This window comes from Homo sapiens, chromosome 1 (genome assembly GCF_000001405.40).
Source record: "Homo sapiens chromosome 1, GRCh38.p14 Primary Assembly".
NCBI lineage: Eukaryota > Metazoa > Chordata > Mammalia > Primates > Hominidae > Homo > Homo sapiens.
The window spans coordinates 225314433-225332197 of NC_000001.11; the positions used below are offsets into that span (position 1 = coordinate 225314433).

The 17765-nt window shown below is 38.1% G+C and overlaps 1 protein-coding gene across 26 annotated transcripts in view, besides 1 other annotated feature; it reads left to right on the forward strand.

Moving 5' to 3' along the window:
- The window catches only part of DNAH14 (dynein axonemal heavy chain 14), a 469633-nt gene that overhangs the window by 384779 nt on the left and 67089 nt on the right, over positions 1–17765 (forward strand). For all 26 annotated transcript variants that reach the window (XM_011544062.3, XM_011544067.3, XM_017000296.2 and 23 more), the window contains 5 exons: positions 4151–4245; positions 8232–8391; positions 9790–9921; positions 10305–10400; positions 17005–17145. In XM_011544062.3, coding sequence (XP_011542364.1) covers positions 4151–4245; positions 8232–8391; positions 9790–9921; positions 10305–10400; positions 17005–17145 — 624 coding nt within the window. The remainder of the gene's footprint in view (positions 1–4150; positions 4246–8231; positions 8392–9789; positions 9922–10304; positions 10401–17004; positions 17146–17765) is intronic.
- Positions 4633–4682: an enhancer, noted in NCBI's record as "active region_2619". NCBI's record gives its function as "activates an Ori minimal core promoter by ATAC-STARR-seq in GM12878 lymphoblastoid cells {active_cell/tissue: GM12878}" and the evidence as "EXISTENCE:reporter gene assay evidence [ECO:0000049][PMID:35858748]".

The window sequence follows — 17765 nt, forward strand, 5'->3', positions numbered from 1 at the left end:
CATTTAAAGTTAATATAGTTATGCGTGAATTTGATCCTGTCATTATGATGCTAGCTGCAGTTTTTTTGCCCGTTAGTTGATGCAGTTTCTTCATAGTGTTAATGGTCTTTACATTTTGGTATGTTTTTGCAGTGGCTGGTACCAGTTTTTCCCTTCCATATTTAGTGCTTCCCTCAGGAGCTCTTATAAGGTAGGCCTGATGGTGACAAAATCCCTCAGCATTTGCTTGTCTGTAAAGGATTTTATTTCTCCTTCACTTACAAAGCTTAGCTTGGCTGGATATGAAATTCTTGGTTGAAAATTATTTTCTTTAAGAAGGCTGAATATTGGCCCTTACTCTCTTCTGGTTTGTAGGGATTCTGCAGAGAGATCCACTGTTAGTCTGATGGGCTTCCCTCTGTGGGTAACCCGACCTTTCTCTCTGGCTGCCTTTAACATTTTTTCCTTCATTTCAACCTTGGTGAATCTGAGGATTATGCATCTTAGGGTTGCTCTTCTCGAGGAGTATCTTTGTAGTGTTCTCTGTATTTCCTGGATTTGAATGTTGGCCTGTCTTGCTAGGTTGGGTAAGTTCTCCTGGATAATATCCTGAAGTGTGTTTTCCAACTTGGTTCCATTCTCTCCATCACTTTCAAGTACACCAATCAAATGTTGGTTTAGTCTTTTCACATGGTCACATATTTCTTGGAGGCTTTGTTCATTCTTTTTCATTCTTTTTTCTCTAGTCTTGCCTTCATGCTTTATTTCATTAAGCTGATTTTCAATCTCTGATAGCCTTTCTTCTGCTTGATTGATTCGGCTACTGATATTTGGGTATGCTTCACGAAGTTTTCGTGCTGGGTTTTTCAGCTCCATCAGGTCATTTATGTTCTTCTCTAAACTAGTTATTCTAGTTAGCAATTCCTCTAATCTTTTATCAAGGTTCTTAGCTTCCTCGCATTGGGTTAGAACATGCTCCTTTAGCTCAGAGGAGTTTCTTATTACCCACCTTCTGAAGCCTACTTTTGTCAACTCATCAAACTCATTCTCCGTCCAGTTTTGTTCCCTTGCTAGCAAGGAGTTGTGATCCTTTGGAGGAGAAGAGGCATTCTGTGTTTTGGAATTTTCAGCATTTTTGTGCTGGTTTTTCCTTATCTTTGTGGATTTATCTACCTGTGGTCTTTGTTCTTGGTGACCTTCGGATGGAGTTTTTGTGTGGTTGTCCTTTTTGTTGATGTTGATGCTATTGCTTTCTGTTTGTTAGTTTTACAGTCAGGCCCCTCTTCTGCAGGTCTGCTGGAATTTGCTGGGGATCCACTCCAGATCCTGTTTGTCTAGGTATCACCAGCGAAGGCTGCAGAACAGCAAAGATTGCTGCCTGCTCCTTCCGCTGGAAGCTTCATCCAAGAGGGGCACCTGCCAGATGCCAGCTGGAGCTCTCCTGTCTGTCAATCCCTGCTGGGAAGTGTCTCCCCATCAGGAGGCATGCAGATCAGGGACCCACTTGAGGCAGTCTGTCCCTTTGCAGAGCTGCGGCCACAGCTGCCCCTTCCTTCAGGTGCTCTGTCCCAGGCAGATGGGAGTTTTATCTATAAGCCCCTGACGGGGCTGCTGCCTTTCTTTCAGAGATGCCCTGCCCAGACAGGAGGTATCTAGAGAGAGAGTCTGGCTACAGCGGCTTTGCAGCACTGAGGTCGGCTCTGCCCAGTCCAAAATTTGGGGCAGCTTTGTTTACACTGTGAGGGGAAAACTGCCTACTCAAGCCTCAGTAATGGTGGATGCCCCTCCCCCGACCAAGCTCAGGAGTCCCAGGTCTTCTTCAGACTGCTGTGCTGGCAGTGAGAATTTCAAGCGAGTGGATCTTAGCTTGCTGGGCTCCACTGGGGTGGGATCCACTGAGCAAGACCACTTGGATTTCTGGCTTCAGCTCCCTTTCCAGGGGAGTGAATGGTTCTGTCTTGCTGGCATTCCAGGCACCACTGGGGTATGAAAAAAAACTCCTGCAGCTAGTTTGGTGTCTGCCCAAACAGCCGCCCAGTTTTGTGCTTGAAATCCAGGGCTCTTGTGGTGTAGGCACCTGAGGGAATCTCCTGGTCTGCGGGTTGTGAAGACTGTGGGAAAAGTGTAGTATCTGGGCCAGAATGCACCGTCCTTCATGGCACAGTCCCTCATGGCTTTCCTTGGCTACTGGAGGGAGTTCCCTGACCCCTTGTGCTTCCTGGGTGAGGTGATGCCCCACCCTGCTTCAGTTCTCCCTCCATGGGCTGCACCCACTGTCTAACCAGTCCCAATGAGATGAACCAGGTACCTCAGTTGGAAATGCAGAAATCACCCACCTTCTGCGTTGATCTCGCTGGGAGCTGCAGACCAGAGCTGTTCCTATTTGGCCATCTTGGCCCAATCATGCCACACTCCTATAATACTTTTTTCTACGTTTTCTCACCGCATACTCTGTGATCATTTCTTCATATTATAGTGATTTTATAATATCATTTCCTAAAAAATCTTTGGCAGAATTGATCAAATGTGTTTTTCATTTTTGATAGTTTAGAAGTTTCTTTCAACTTTCTAAGTTATTATTGACAATGACATGAATATTTTATAGGACTGCTATTACATTTGGTATAAGCAGCAATGGCTTTTCGAGGTTCTTATGCAGTGATTAATTTCAAATACTGTTTGAATCAATGACATTCATTAACCAGTTTTCCATCAATGTCCTCATTATAACAGTGTTTTCTGATATTTATGTTATTTTCATTAATGTCAATATTTCTTGAAAATGCAGAAAGAAATTTAAATTCTTCCAATGTGATCATATGATTCATTCTTCTTTATTACTTGGATAATTAGACAAAACAAGAGCCACTTCATTACTTATGTTCTAAATTTATTTTTTCATTTTAATAAAGTTTTGCTTTTGGTATGACCTAAAATTTTTCATTATGATTTGCTCCTCAATATCAGAATAACCTCTACTGATTTTAGCACTCACCTTTATTTCATATTTCACGTTTTTATCTTAATTATATATATGTAAATAAAATTTTTAAATTCTAAAATAAGGCACCTCTCACATATCTACATAAGAAATCTGTAATTTCTCACTTACTTCATTGAAACACTCCAAAACATCTTGCCAAATGCAGTAAGTATTTCTTTAAAACCCAGGAATTCTGATGAATTTGATTTTATACAACTCCCAGTAAAAAAGAAAAAAAAAGTATAGCAGGTTTAGAATAGTATATACTGCTTATCAAGTATACTCAGAATGAAGTTTCATTTTGCAAAGGTGTCAATGAAAATCTAACCCTCCATTTACAATTTTATACATCTAATAAGTGGAAATATTTATACAGAGTAGCTTCTAGATGCATACATTATAAACCTCGTCTCTCCTATACTAACCCACATACTTCTGGTGCCAGATCCTATAGGACAAGTTTCTATTACAATATGACCTCTGGGCTTAATGTCACCCCACCGGGAAAGTTAGACCAGCAGAAAACAGAAGTATTTCTGGAAGTCATTTCTATTTCAGACAGTTTACAGTAGTTTTACTATATAGGGAAGTAACTGTGAGCAATATAAATATAATTCCCAAGTCAACTTTTTAGCCAGATCTCAAAATATCCACAGCCACTGCAACACCTGATGTGATAGGAAACCTGACAAACAATGGGGCAAAATGCAAAGAGAAATCATTCCTAATTGATTGCAGTTCAAATGTCTTACTTTTGCAAAATGAAAACATATGACCCTGCAAACATAATGGCAGGGCTGCTTGCACAGCCTTGGAAGGGGTGTGTGCAAGTGAGAGGCTGAAGTTTAAGCTTCGTAGCTTCACAGTAATTCTACCCTTAACTGGACCATTCCTCAAAAGGGCATTGTTAATTCTACACTGAGTCTAAGAGGTAAGGCAGAAATCACTCAGTGTTTTTGCTTCCCATGTATACCTTCTCATCAAGGATTGAATCATACACATTTTAGGACTATGATACACCTTTCCAACAGTACAAGCATGTGTGCACATATCTAAGTCATAAAAGATGCATAACTTATGGGCATTGTAAAAATATCAAATTATATTTTCCAAGTTCAGCATACAAAAATTTTAAATATGCAACTATATTGATTCATATGTGTTTGGGGACCTATATTTTTATTGCAGAAAACTGCCAATGAACTAAAAAGTGTGCTGCCAGCCTTTGACAAGGCAATTGTGGCTCTGAATGCCCTGGATAAAGCTGATGTCGCTGAATTAAGGTAACTCTCCTAAGTTTCGTTTGAGTTGGAAAAGCTCAGAAAAAAACATAAATTCATGTTTACTAAGCCTATATTCCATTTTTAGCCTATATACTAAGCCTATATTCCATTTCTTAATCTTGGTTTAAGATTTTTTACCCATCTTGGTTACTTTAAGTGTTCATTCTGTATGGTATATACTGTATCTTATCAATTTTATGATGCCTTCAATTGTAAGGCATACCAGTATTTTTTGTATCCTGAAGAAAAAATGCTGCCAGTTACACTGTGATGTGCTGTTTGTTATAAACTGAATCTCAGTCTCTTTGATGTAAAAATGTGCATCTTAAAATTGACAAAATACAATATTACCTGGCCTGCAGTTCCAAAAATAAAAGGACAATGTTTACACATTGTAAACGGCTGCTTGTACCAGTTTAGCTACAGCTTTTGGGACTGTACTAACACATATCTGAGACTGCAAAGTTGGACATTACCACAAGGTGTCACTACAGGAAGTGCGGGAAGTGCTTCCCCTTGCTGTGCCCTGTCCCAAACTTGATCCAGGTTAGGGCTAGGGGTTAATGATTGAAGAGAATACATAAGAAAATACAGGAAGAAATGAAACATTTTAGGCTACAAAGATCTGAGCCTATTAGTGCTAATTTGAATCTTTGGGTGAGATAATTTTTAGCTTGAGCTCCCCAACTCAACAAACAATGGGAACCTACCTATAACGTCTTGGAATGTGTTGAGTTTTCTGCTATTTGTAGAAAATAGTATTTTAATGAAAGATGTGGAAATTTGGAGCAAACCTACCGTGATATTTATAACATATTATTAGCTTTTGTGATAAGAAGAATTTTTTTGATCAATATATTTTTATGATGAAGAGATCATATTACAATGCTGAAGTTAATGCCCGTGAAACTGAAAAAATGCAAAAGAGAAACAAGCAAGAGAAGGAGGGAGAATTCTTGACTTCTTTTTCTTTCATTCGTATGCCCTCATTCTTATGCACTCAATTCAGCAAATATCTTGAGCACACATTAAGTGCCAGGCCCTGTTCTGGGCACTGAGGTTGTAGCAGTTAACGGTTGTGGAAACTGTTTCTGATGAGGTGACATTGGAGCAGAGAACTGAATGAAATTTGGAAGTAAGCTAGGCAGGTATCCAGTGGAAGAGTGTTCCAAGCAGAGGAAATGGAAAGCACAAAAGTCTGAAGACAGAAATGTGCTTCTTGGGTTTCAGGAACTGCAAAAGACCAAGATGACTAAAGTTCAGTGAGCAAGAGGGAATGTCAGGAGATGACATTAGAGAAGTAACAGGGGCCAGTTCTTCCCCAACACAGCCCCTCATGTACCTCATGACTTTGTTCCAGAAGGTTCTATCCTCTTAGCTTTTTTTTCTAGCAGATATTCCCTAGAGAGTGATCAGTTCAAATTCCCTTTAGCCTAATTTCTGAGGGGTGGTGTGTCATAGTGGTTAAGCACATGGGCTCTGATACCAAGCTTCCTGGCTGGGGATCCTGGCACTGCCACTTTCTAGCTGTATAAGCTCTCTGTGCCTGAGCTTCCCTTTTGTGCAACAGTGATTGCAGATGTTGAAAGGACTGAATGAGTTAATACAGGTAAAATGCTTGTAACAGAGGCTGGCATAAGGCAAATGCTCAATAAAGGTTACTTTCATGATAAGAGATTTCCTCTGATCAAGTAGGCCCTTTTCCCTGCCCTAGTAGTACTACAAAAGCTAAGAAAACCAGCCTTGTCTTTGAACTCCTTGAGTATGTCTTGTTTGTTGTTTGTTTGTTTTTAAAGATCCTCCTTTGTTATATTGCTAATGTGTATTTTACTTTGCTCACTCCAAAATGCCACACAAATGAGGATGCCTTATAACCTGATCTCCATTGCTATTCTTGGACATGCAGCAGAGACATCTAGCAGATGCACAGCTTAGTCCATTCTCTTCCCAAGCTGCTATTTCTATCATCAAAATGCCAACAATTGCCCCATGATACTTTCATCCTTTGCCATTTTGCAACATGAACCACTAGAAGCAGAAAGCAGATAGTAGAAAATGCAGATTGGAGAAAATGAGGAAAGATCCAAGACAGACTAATTCTGTGAAGTAATAAAGAATTTTAAAGCAAATTTCCAGTAGACACGTGTCACTTTGAATCAAATATTTATTCCTGGAAAGTGGCACAGAGATTGAACTACAGTCAGTTTAATCCTGTTTCCCCTTTAATTTAAATTAAATTTCCTAGATAATATATTTTATCCTAGTATTATATTCACATCGTATTTGTTTTAAATAGAGTTAAACCTGGGTAAAATTGAGGAAAGGTTCCTTACTGGAGCTCTCACTTCTCCTTTGTGGACCTTTTCTCTTTTTCTAGTTCCTCTGTTATCTTTCCCATTATTTCAAAAAGGCCAAGCTGATAATCTCAGAAAAGCAACCTGAAAAAATTATTTCAGAATAAAGTGCTAATGATTGAGCTATTCAAATGTGAAGATGATCTTCATTTTAAAATTAGACTGTTAATGAGACTAAAGATTAAATCAAATGAACACATAGGTTAGAATTTCTAGTTGTACAGACACTGGGGCCTACCTGAGACTGAAGGATGGGAGGAGGGAGACAGTCAGAAAAAATAACTATTGCCTACTGGGCTTAGTACCTGGGTGATGAAATAACCTGTACAACAAACTCCCATGACACAAGTTTACCTATATAACCAACCTGCACATGTACTCCTGAAACTAAAATAAAAGTTGAAAAAAAATTCTAGTTGTGAAATTCAAGGCAGAGGACCTTCTTGGTAAGCCCTGTGGATAATGTCATGCATATAAAGTTGGCTTGGTTGCCTTCCTTCTTTGGGAAGTCTGTGCGATTTTCACTTGGTGAGGCTCATTACCCATGTGTGGACCTACCCTGCCTTGTTCCAAGTTCCAAATGCTGGTGCACAGCAACCATCACCCCCTTGTGATTTCTCTTTGAAACTTGCTTCTTATAAATGTTATTCTGACCCTGACTTTCCAAAGCATCAACTTCTTACCTAACAGTCCAGTGGCACGTCAACTGATTAAGACATAGTGAAGAGACCGCCTCCAATGTTCCAATAATAAATACATTATTAATGACTTGAAAGACAAATTCCCATCCACCCTTCCTCCCCTGACTCTGTTTTATCTGTGATTTTTATGGTGGGAATTTTAGATCAGGAAGAAGAAATGAGAGCATGTGTTTAAGGGGAGTTGGCTGTTATACCACTTCTTAAGTCACGAGAATAGGGCTGACTCCCAACGCATACACATGTACAGTGTCTCTGTGAAGCAGTCATCAGTAAATCAACCCTGGACTGAAACAAGAGAGGGGTTTCTATTTTTAAATAACTCTACAGTGAAGACTTTTCTTTTTTTTTCTTTCTTTTTTTTTTTTTTTTTTTTTTTGAGACAGTGTCTCACTTTGTCGCCCAGGCTGGAGAACAGTGGCGTGATCTTGGCTCAGTCCAGCCTCTGCCTCCTGGGTTCAAGCAATTCTCCTGCTTCAGTCTCCAAGTAGCTGGGACTACAGGCACCCGCCACCATACCCAGCTAATTTTTTTATTTTTGTAGAGACCGGGTTTCGCCATGTTGGCCAGGCTGGTCTCGAACTCCTGACCCCAAGTGATCCGCCCGCCTCAGCCTCCCAAAGTGCAGGGATTACAGGCATGAGCCACCATGCCCAGCCCAAGACTTTTTATAATAAAACTAATTAGCCTTTAACTCAGATGTAGTACTTATTTAAGTTTTATGCATTTCATCTTCCTAAAACTATAATATCCTTATATTTAAGATACCCAATTTTTAAAAGATACCTAAGTAATTAAATAGCTATATGTTGACAAATAGTTTTCCTTATCCAAATGTGTGTTAAAAATCTGTGTATATTGTCTTCTGAGATATTTACAGGGTGCATTTCATTTTTAATTGTGAAGTTGATGAGATTTTCATCATCTATTACAGAGTATACACACGGCCTCCCTTCCTTGTACTGACTGTCATGAATGCAGTGTGTATTCTTCTGCAAAAGAAACCTAACTGGGCAACGGCAAAGTTACTTCTTTCAGAAACTGGTTTCCTGAAAAAATTGATTAACCTTGACAAGGACAGCATACCTGATAAGGTAAAAAGTTGATCTCTAATTGATGCATCTCATATTTACAGTCTGTGGGATCAAACAGACCACCTGCCATCTAAATTGTTCTATTCTTAGATGGAGAGACTATTTTCTAGGAAAATAGCTCTATTCTTCCAGGCAAGAGAGGAGTTGCCTAGTTGGATAGGGAAAAGAAATCCCAGTCTGAGAAAAATTTCATTCTGATTATGGCTCCCAAAAGTAGATGAGAAATACTGTATATCTAACTCCAAACTGTGTGATACCGTTTAGAAATAGAGATGGACCTGTGGGCATGTGACACAGCTAAGGTAGAGAACATCCTCAGTGAGCCCCAGCATGCCCCAGGCCATACCACCATTACTGACCAGACAGACCTTTGAATAGGGACTGTGCCTTGCCAATATGCCGCCTGGGGGACAGAAGGAAGAGGATGGTATTCCTAGTCACCTCACACCTGAAGTGCACAAGGAGACTTCAGAATTTTTAGATATCAAATTCTTAAAGCTGGAGAAAGTTAACCTGTTTTGTTTTTGTTTTAAAAGTTTCTTTTTAAAAAGTATAGCAAAGCTACTGCAACAACAGTAGCAATAGCAGGATGTTAACAAAGGCTTTTTCTCTCCTGATACTAGGTTTTGTTGTTGTTTTGTTTTGTTTTTTGTTTTTTGTTTTTTGTTTTGAGACGGAGTCTCACTCTGTCACCCAGGCTGGAGATCTCAGCTCACTGCAACCTCCACCTCCTGGGTTCAAGCGATTCTCCTGCCTCAGCCTCCCGAGTAGCTGGGGCTACAGGTGCCTGCCACCATGCCCAGCTAATTTTGTATTTTTAGTAGAGACATGGTTTCACCATGTTGGTCAGGCTGGTCTTGAACTCCTGACCTTGTGATCTGCCCCCCTGGGCGTCCCAAAGTGCTGGGATTACAGGCGGGAGCCACCTTGCCCAGCCACTAGCGTCATTTTTGTACCCAGGCATGTGTCTTTGATTCTACTATTAAAGATAAGTTAATTTTTGTTTTTTTTTAGACAGAGTCTCACTCTGTGCACTCGCTGGAGTGCAGCGGCATGATCTTGGCTCACTGCAACCTCTCACTCCTGGGTTCAAGTGATTCTCGTGCCTCAGCTTCCCTGGTAGCTAGGATTACAGGCGTGTGCCACCATGCACAGCTAATTTTTGTATTTTTAGTAGAGACAGGATTTCACCATGTTGGCTAGGCTGGTCTCGAACTCCTGACCTCTGGTGACCCACCCACCTCGACCTCCCAAAGTGCTGGGTTTATAGGCATGAGCCGCCGCCCCCGGCCTGAATATTTTAATATGAAATAAAATTTCAATCTAGTGTAGACTGGGGAAAACTTCAGGTGAATAATATTTCTTTCTCATGTAATACATTAACTGTGTTCTCTCTAGGTTTTCGTGAAGCTAAAAAAAATTGTAACCTTACCTGATTTCAACCCACACAAGATTTCGCTGGTTTCTGTTGCTTGTTGCTCCCTGTGCCAGTGGGTTATAGCTTTGAATAACTACCATGAAGTACAGAAGGTATGCTTTTCCTCCTAAACATCTGTCATGATTTGGAAGTGGCACATCAATGTCCCAGAAATAATTTTTATTTACCAATACTCAAATGAACTTGAGTGGAAAGGATACCTAAGGAGAAACACTTTAATCAAATGTTATTCTAACTCACACAGATGTCAAGTGCTCCCATTAAATTTGTTATTTATTGACAACTATGCTAGTATTTGTGTATTTCATTTTATTGTTTCACCATAATAGGCAACTTTGTACCCCACATATACATATAGTTCTAGGAAAGTTTAATTGTAACAATTGACTCTGTAAATGTCTTTCAAATATAAATGGCATTTTTAACAGTAAACCCGACGTTTTTGACACTTAAATGTTCTGACATTCTCTTTAAGGTTGTGGGCCCTAAACAAATCCAAGTAGCTGAAGCTCAAAACGTCCTTAAAATTGCGCGACAAAGACTTGCTGAGAAACAAAGAGGTTTACAGCTGGTAAGAAATACAGTTCAGTTCTCAAAATAAGACAAAACACCAGGACAATGTAATTATCTCAGGAGAGCTTATCAGTTTCAGATAAGATGGAAATAATAATATAGGTAGTGAAAAGATTAATTGTGAGGATTAAGTAAATAATATTATTGGTAATATTATTAATAATATATATAAAACTTTTAGTGCCTACCACATAATAAAACACTCTATAGAGTTCATTATTATTGTCTTTATAATATTTTAATTTACTATTTCACCAAATTTCTCTCGGAAGATCTTTACAACTTCAGTTTACCAAAGCCTTAAACAGTATCAATCTGTGCTCTTTTTTTTTTTTTCCAGTCTGTGTTCTTTAAAAAAAACTGTACTTTATTGGGCACAGTGTCTCATGCCTGTAATCCCAGCACTTTGGGAGGCTGAGGCAGGTGGATCACCTGAGGTCAGGAGTTCGAAACCAGCCTGGCCAACATGGTGAAACCCCATCTCTACTAAAAATACAAAAATTAGCTGGGCGTGGTGGCAGGCGTCTGTAATACCAGCTACTTGGGAGGCTGAGGCAGGAGAATCTCTTGAACCCGGGAGAAGGAGATTGCAGTGTGCCGAGATTGAACCATTACACTCCAGCCTGGGCAACAAGAGCAAAACTCCATCTCAAAAAAAAAAAAAATATCCAACTGTACTTAACCTGTTTATATCATTACCCTGTTGATTTGTAAAGGCATGATTATTCCTTAAATGTCTTGATTTTAAATTAAAATACAGTATCATTATCATTATGAGAACTGGAACTAGAATTCATATCCCTGTTACCTATTTAGCTCACGTACATTTTGAGAGTGAGCAAAGTAATACATTTCAGAGACGCAAACAGGCAAATTCAGTCCATTGATATCTTTTGACCTATTACAGTCTTCCCACCCCTCACCTCATTTTGATATAATCAACATTTTAAAATTTCGGGATTTTACTTAATATCTGATTTTCTGTCTTTTCCTGAAAACTCAGATAGCTGGCAACTCTGGGCTAGCGTTCCCACTTGGCTGTAGGCAGCCCCCACTCACTTCAAGCATTTCTGCTACCTGTTTGGCCCCATAGGCATTTCTGGCAAACTGAGATATATTAAAAAGGACTGGATATTTTTGAAAGAAAAAAACAAATTTGAACCGAATTTACTTTATATAGATATATCATTTCTTGCTAATATTTTGTTGTAGCTTATAGTCTATAGAGTTTTGTTTTGATGGATGCTGATAATAGTTAATGTTTATTTAGCACTTACTGTGTTCCAAGCACAGTGGTCATTTAATCCTCATGTAATCCTCACAACAACATTTCAAAGTAGATGTTTATAAATGAGAAAACTAAATTTTAAAGATTTAGTAAATTTGTTCAAGATCTTAAGCTAATAAGTGATGGTGCCCATGTTCTAACCTAGGTCTGTCTAACTCTAAAGCCCACGCACTTAACAGGCTTTTAAACTGCTACATTTTAAAATATTTATATCCAGAAGTGATATCCAAAATATTTAGCAACCAGTGTGGCATAGGCACCAAACTGATCAGAATGGACATTTGTCGTGCGGGTAGAAGCAGAGTCTTGGAGGCCTACAGCTGAGTTTGAAGAGAAGGTATGGGGCCAGGTTAGGCAATGTGTGGCTGTAGAGGTGCTTCCTGGGACATGGAGCAGGACCCTTTAGCAATCACTACAGAAATACGTCAACATTTTCACAGTTGTTGTGCCTGTGTAGTATATACCACTGAATATCAGCCCTATTTCTGTCTCAGAATGGAAGAAACCCAAGAAAGAAAAAAAAATTCTTCAAAACTTTAAGAATAATACATTTAAACATTATACAATTTGGAAAAACAGGGCATTCAAGAAGAAATAATTTTTAGTTTAATGAAAGTGTTTGTTCCTTTTTTTGCAACAATTACTAGAAACTCTATGTAAACAAATTTAAAAACCTGAAGGATATGCCCTGTTTTCTAGGACATTTTTAGTCACTGAAAGTCCATTTTAAAAAAAAAACTTGAAAGCTTAAACAATCCAAAAATCATGGATTTAAAAAAGAAATCATAGAACAACCAGAAAGAAGACAAGGAAACAGAGAACCTGAACAACTCAGTAAACCAACTAGACCTAACAGACATATTCAGAATACTCCACCCCGCAACAACACAATACACATTCTTCTCAGTTGCACCTGAGATATTCTCCAGGGTAGACCATATGTTTGGCCACAAAATAAGTTCTCAATAGATTTTAAAAGACATATACCATAAAAGCATCTTGTCTGGCAATAATAACATGAAGGTTGAAATTAGTAACTTTTTTTTTTTTTTTGAGACGGAGTCTTGCACTCTCGCCCAGGCTGAAGTGCAGAGGCGCGATCTCGGCTCACTGCAAGCTCCGCCTCCCGGGTTCACGCCATTCTCCTGCCTCAGCCTCCCGAGTAGCTGGGACTACAGGCACCCACCACCACGCCCGGCTAATTTATTTTTTTTATTTTTAGTAGAGACGGGGTTTCACCGTGTTAGCCAGGATGGTCTCGATTTCCTGACCTTGTGATCCACCCGCCTCGGCCTACCAAAGTGCTGGGATTACAGGTGTCAGCCACCGCACCTGGCCGACTAACTCATTCTTAAACAGCCAGTGGGTCACAGAAGAAATCACAAGAGAAATCAGAAAATACTTAGAGACAAATCAAATGCAACAACCAAAACAAATGGGATACAGCAAAAGAAATGCTCAGAGAAATTTATAGTTGTAAATGCCTGCATTTAAAAAGAAAAATATAAAATCAGTAACCTAACTTCACACCTGAAGGAACTAAACAACAAAGAACGAACCAAACCCAAAGCTAGCAGAAGAAAAGAAATAATAAAGATTAGAGTAGAGATAAACAAAATAGAGAATAGAAAAAAAAATAGCGAAAATCAATGAAACCAAAAGTTGGTTACTTGAAGAGATCATCAAAATGAACAAACCTCTAGGGGAAACAAAAAGAGAGAGAGAGAGAAGAAAGAATTTCTAGACTTCAAGACAGGTCTTTTTAAATGACCCAGTCAGATAAAAAAGAAAAAGAAGAAATAATTTAAAAGAATGAATAAAGCCTTCCTCATATATGGGACACTATCAAGTGAAAAAATATTCAGATTTTGGGAGTTCCAAGAGAAGAGATGAGAAACGGCATCAAAACCTATTTAATAAAATAGTTTCTGAAAACTTCCCAAGTCTTGAGAGAGAGATAGACATTCAGATCAGGAAGCTCATAAATCCCCAGAGAGATTTAACCCAAACAGTTTCTCTCTGAGATACATTATAGTCAAACTGTCAAAAGTCAAAGACAAAGAGAAAATGCCAAAAACAGCAAAAGCATTATGTTACATATAAGGGAATCTCCATCAGACCAACAGCAGATTTCTCAGCAGAAATTTTACAGGCCAGTGGAGAATGTGTATTTATAACACTGTCATTTGTTTTTAATTACAATATTTTTAAATGGTAGGGAGAAAAAGACAAGCTGTACATTCCAGCCAGAGCCACATTACCTTCCATCTCTCAACCACAGGCTTCATGAGAAGTTTCTAGTATTTGAACTCATTAAAATCCAATTAATATACTTAAAATGTATATTTTTTACGCTTAATATTTTAAAATTTAGCTTACTAGTTAACTCCATCAGTTTTAAGCCCTTCGTGGAAATTTTCTCCTCACTCAGCTACATACTTCCTTCCAGTTAAAAATAGGTCTTTTATTTGCCTGGACCCTAATATAAAAAATATTTCTGGAAAATCTAAGGAACTTTGGGGAAAAAACAATGCCAGAACTTATCAAATCACATGAACATTCATCAAAAACATTACCTTTGGGGACTGCAATGCTCATCATATAATAGACACTTCATATGTTTAAGTTAATCAATAGGCCCCATGCGTTAATATGTAAGTAACTCACTAGGTCGTAAGTAACAGGAGTTTTCTCAAAGGAATCAAAATGGGTGAATGAGCAAGCAGACAAAAACAACATAACACATGAAAGTGCAAACAACCCATAATTGTTATGGGTGATCCAGGAATAAATTCTAAATCATTAAACATGCCAAAAGTAACATATATATACACATATAAATTAGGTATATATTTTCACCAGGATAGCATCTTAAAAAAAGAGAAATTACCAATCATAATAAGCACAATTTTGTCTTTATAATTGTGTTGTACATACCATGTTCAAGTCTCCATGCTAAACTCTCAACTTAAAGGTTAATAAGACTGTAAGACCACAATCCAAGAGATGATATCAGGAAACTTAAAATTACTTCTCAAACAACTGTTATAAACAAACATCAGTGTAGATTTGACAAGGCTGAGACTTCATGACAGCTGGAAGTTGATCAGTATATTACACAATGCCTAGGATTTATACCCTTTTAAGGGAAGGGCCAAGGTACAAAGGATGTGAGTCAAATCCCAGAGACAAGAAGCTTAAGGAATGTTGGGGAGATAAGGAATAAACCAATTTGGATAAAGAGTAATATAATTGGAAAGGAGTAATAAAGGAGATGAAGTTGGGAAGGAAGGTTGGGGTCAGGTTGTGGAGGCATTAGTTGATAGCCAAAACTCTGGACTATATCCTTAATCCATTACTTCTGTAAGAATTCACCAAATGCTTTTGAGCAGGGGTGTAATCAAGATAAGTGATAATTTAAGAAAATTATTTTGGGGAAAAGACCATCTCTTCAATAAATGGTGCTGGATATCTATATCCAGAAGAATGAAACTAGACCCCTATCTCTCACCATACACAAAAATCACATCAAAATGAATTACAGACTTAAATCTAAGACCTCAAACTATGAAACTTCTTGAGAAAACATTGGGGAAAATCTCCAGGACATTGGTCTGGGCAAAAATGTCTTGAATGACACCCCACAACCACAGGTAACCAAAGCAAACACGGGCTAATGGGATCACATCAAGTTAAAAAGCTTCTGCACAGTAAAGGAAACACTCAACAAAGTGAAGAGATGGCCCACAGAATAGGAGAAATTATTTGCAAACTACCCATCTGACAAGGGATGAATAACCAGAATATATACAGAGCTCAAACATCTCTATAGAAAAAAATCTAATAATCCAATTTGAAAATGAGTAAAAGGCTTGAATGGATACTTATCAAAAGAAGACATACCAATGGCAAAAAGACATATAAAAAGGTGCTCAATATCATTGATCATCAGACAAATGCAAATAAAAACTACAGTGAGATATCATCTTACCCTAATTAAAATGGCTTTTATCCAAAAGACAGGCAATAACAAAATGCTGACAGGGATGTGGAGAAAAGGGAACCCTTATACACTGCTCGTGGGAACATAAATTAGTACAACCACTATGGAGAACAGTTTGGAGGTTCCTCAAAAAACTAAAAATAGAGCTACCATATGATCCAGCAATTCTACTGCTGGGTATATACCCAAAAGAAAGGAACTCAGTATATTAAATAGATAACTGCACTTCCATGTTTGTTGCAGCACTGTTCACAATAGCCAGAATTTGGAAGTAACCTAAGTGTCCATCAACAGATGAATGGATAACGAAAATGTTGTACTTATACACAGTGGAGTATTATTCAACCATTAAAAAGAATGAGGTCTTGTCATTTGCAACAACACTGATGGAAGTGGAGGTCATTATGCTAAGTGAAATAAGCCAGGTGCAGAAAGACAAACATGGCATGTTCTCACTTATTTGTGGGATCGAAAAATCAAAACAATTGAACTCATGGAGATAGAGGGCAGAAAGATGGTTACCAGAGGCTGGGAAGGGTAGTGGGAAGGTATGAGGAAGGTAAGAATGGTTAATGGATACGAAAAATAGAAAGAATGAATAAGACCTAGTACGTGATAGCACAACAGGGTGATTGTAGTCAATAATAATTTAACTGTACACTTAAAATAAAGAGTATAATTTGATTGTTTGTAACACAAAGGATAAATGCTCGAGAGGATGGATACCCCATTCTCCATGATGTGATGATTACACATTGCATGCCTGTATCAAAACATCTCATGTGCCCCCTAAATATATATATATACCTACTGTGTACCCAAAAATAAAAATAAAAAATAATTTTTTCAGCTATTTATGAAAATATGTTTTCCACTAACACTGTAAGGAAGGTTTAACAGTTGATTCATCATACAGCTTAAATTTAAAAATTCATTCGGTCCTCTGGTCTGTTCAGTACATCTGAAGTGAAAAGAAGTTCAACCATTTTCTTAGAAAAAGAATCTAAATAAGATATAAAATTTTATTTGCAAAAAATAAATCAGAAATTGATGAATCTACAAACGCTAGGATTGTAAAAAAAAAGCCTATTAAAGAAGCAAGATGGCATTTAAAAATATACAAATTTCAATATCAATGAATCATTTCATTTCTACAATGTCCATTTTCATTGGTAATATAATCCCTCCAGAAAGATTTTCCAGGATGTGAAAATGAAATGGTAACACTATATTTATATAAATGACAGCTAAAGTCTTGAAGCAAAATGAGAGTAAGATATTTTTCTCAATAATGAATTAATTATCTTTCAGGTTGAAGAACATTTGCTGTTTTTACAGGCAGCTTACAAAGATACCGTTGCTGAAAAACAACTATTAGCAAATCGGAAAACAATGGCCAGCAGGCGCTTTCAGTGTGCGTCAGTCTTACTAACTGTCCTGGAAGATGAGAAGGCATGACTTACTTTGGTCTTATATCTCGTCCATAATTCCTACTGGGCCCAACAACCCCCAAGATGTTATTTTCACTGCAGGCTGTATCATATACCTTCTAAAACTATCTAACTATCCAGTTTCTTATTGGGATCAGTAGACATCCTATTCACATAAAGAAATCCTGTTTGAGTCGTCTCAAAACAGAAGTAACAGACTACAAGTATCTGACGTTATCTCCTGTTCTGAAGACATCAGCACGCTTTTCTCTGATGAGGCCCAAAGTAAACCTTTCAATGAAAATGTCATTAGTTTTCCTTTTCTAGCACTGGGAGAACCCAAGCTGAACATATAAAACATGGGTGGAACCACAAAGGAGAGATGTCATTAGTAAAGAAAAAGAAAATTCTCCCTTTTTTTTTAAGTGAAAGTAAGTTTATTAAGAAAGTAAAGGAATAAAGAATGGCTACTCCATAGGCAGAGCAGCCAATAAAGAACATTTTATTTTGTTCTGTCAGCCTTCTGAACCCTTTTAGCTCACCTTTTTATTTCTCCTCTGGTTCATCTGGCTTCTCCATGGTTGAATCTCTAGTAAGCTAACTAGAATCTCAGTTTAGTTACACCTCAGCTATCTCAAGGGA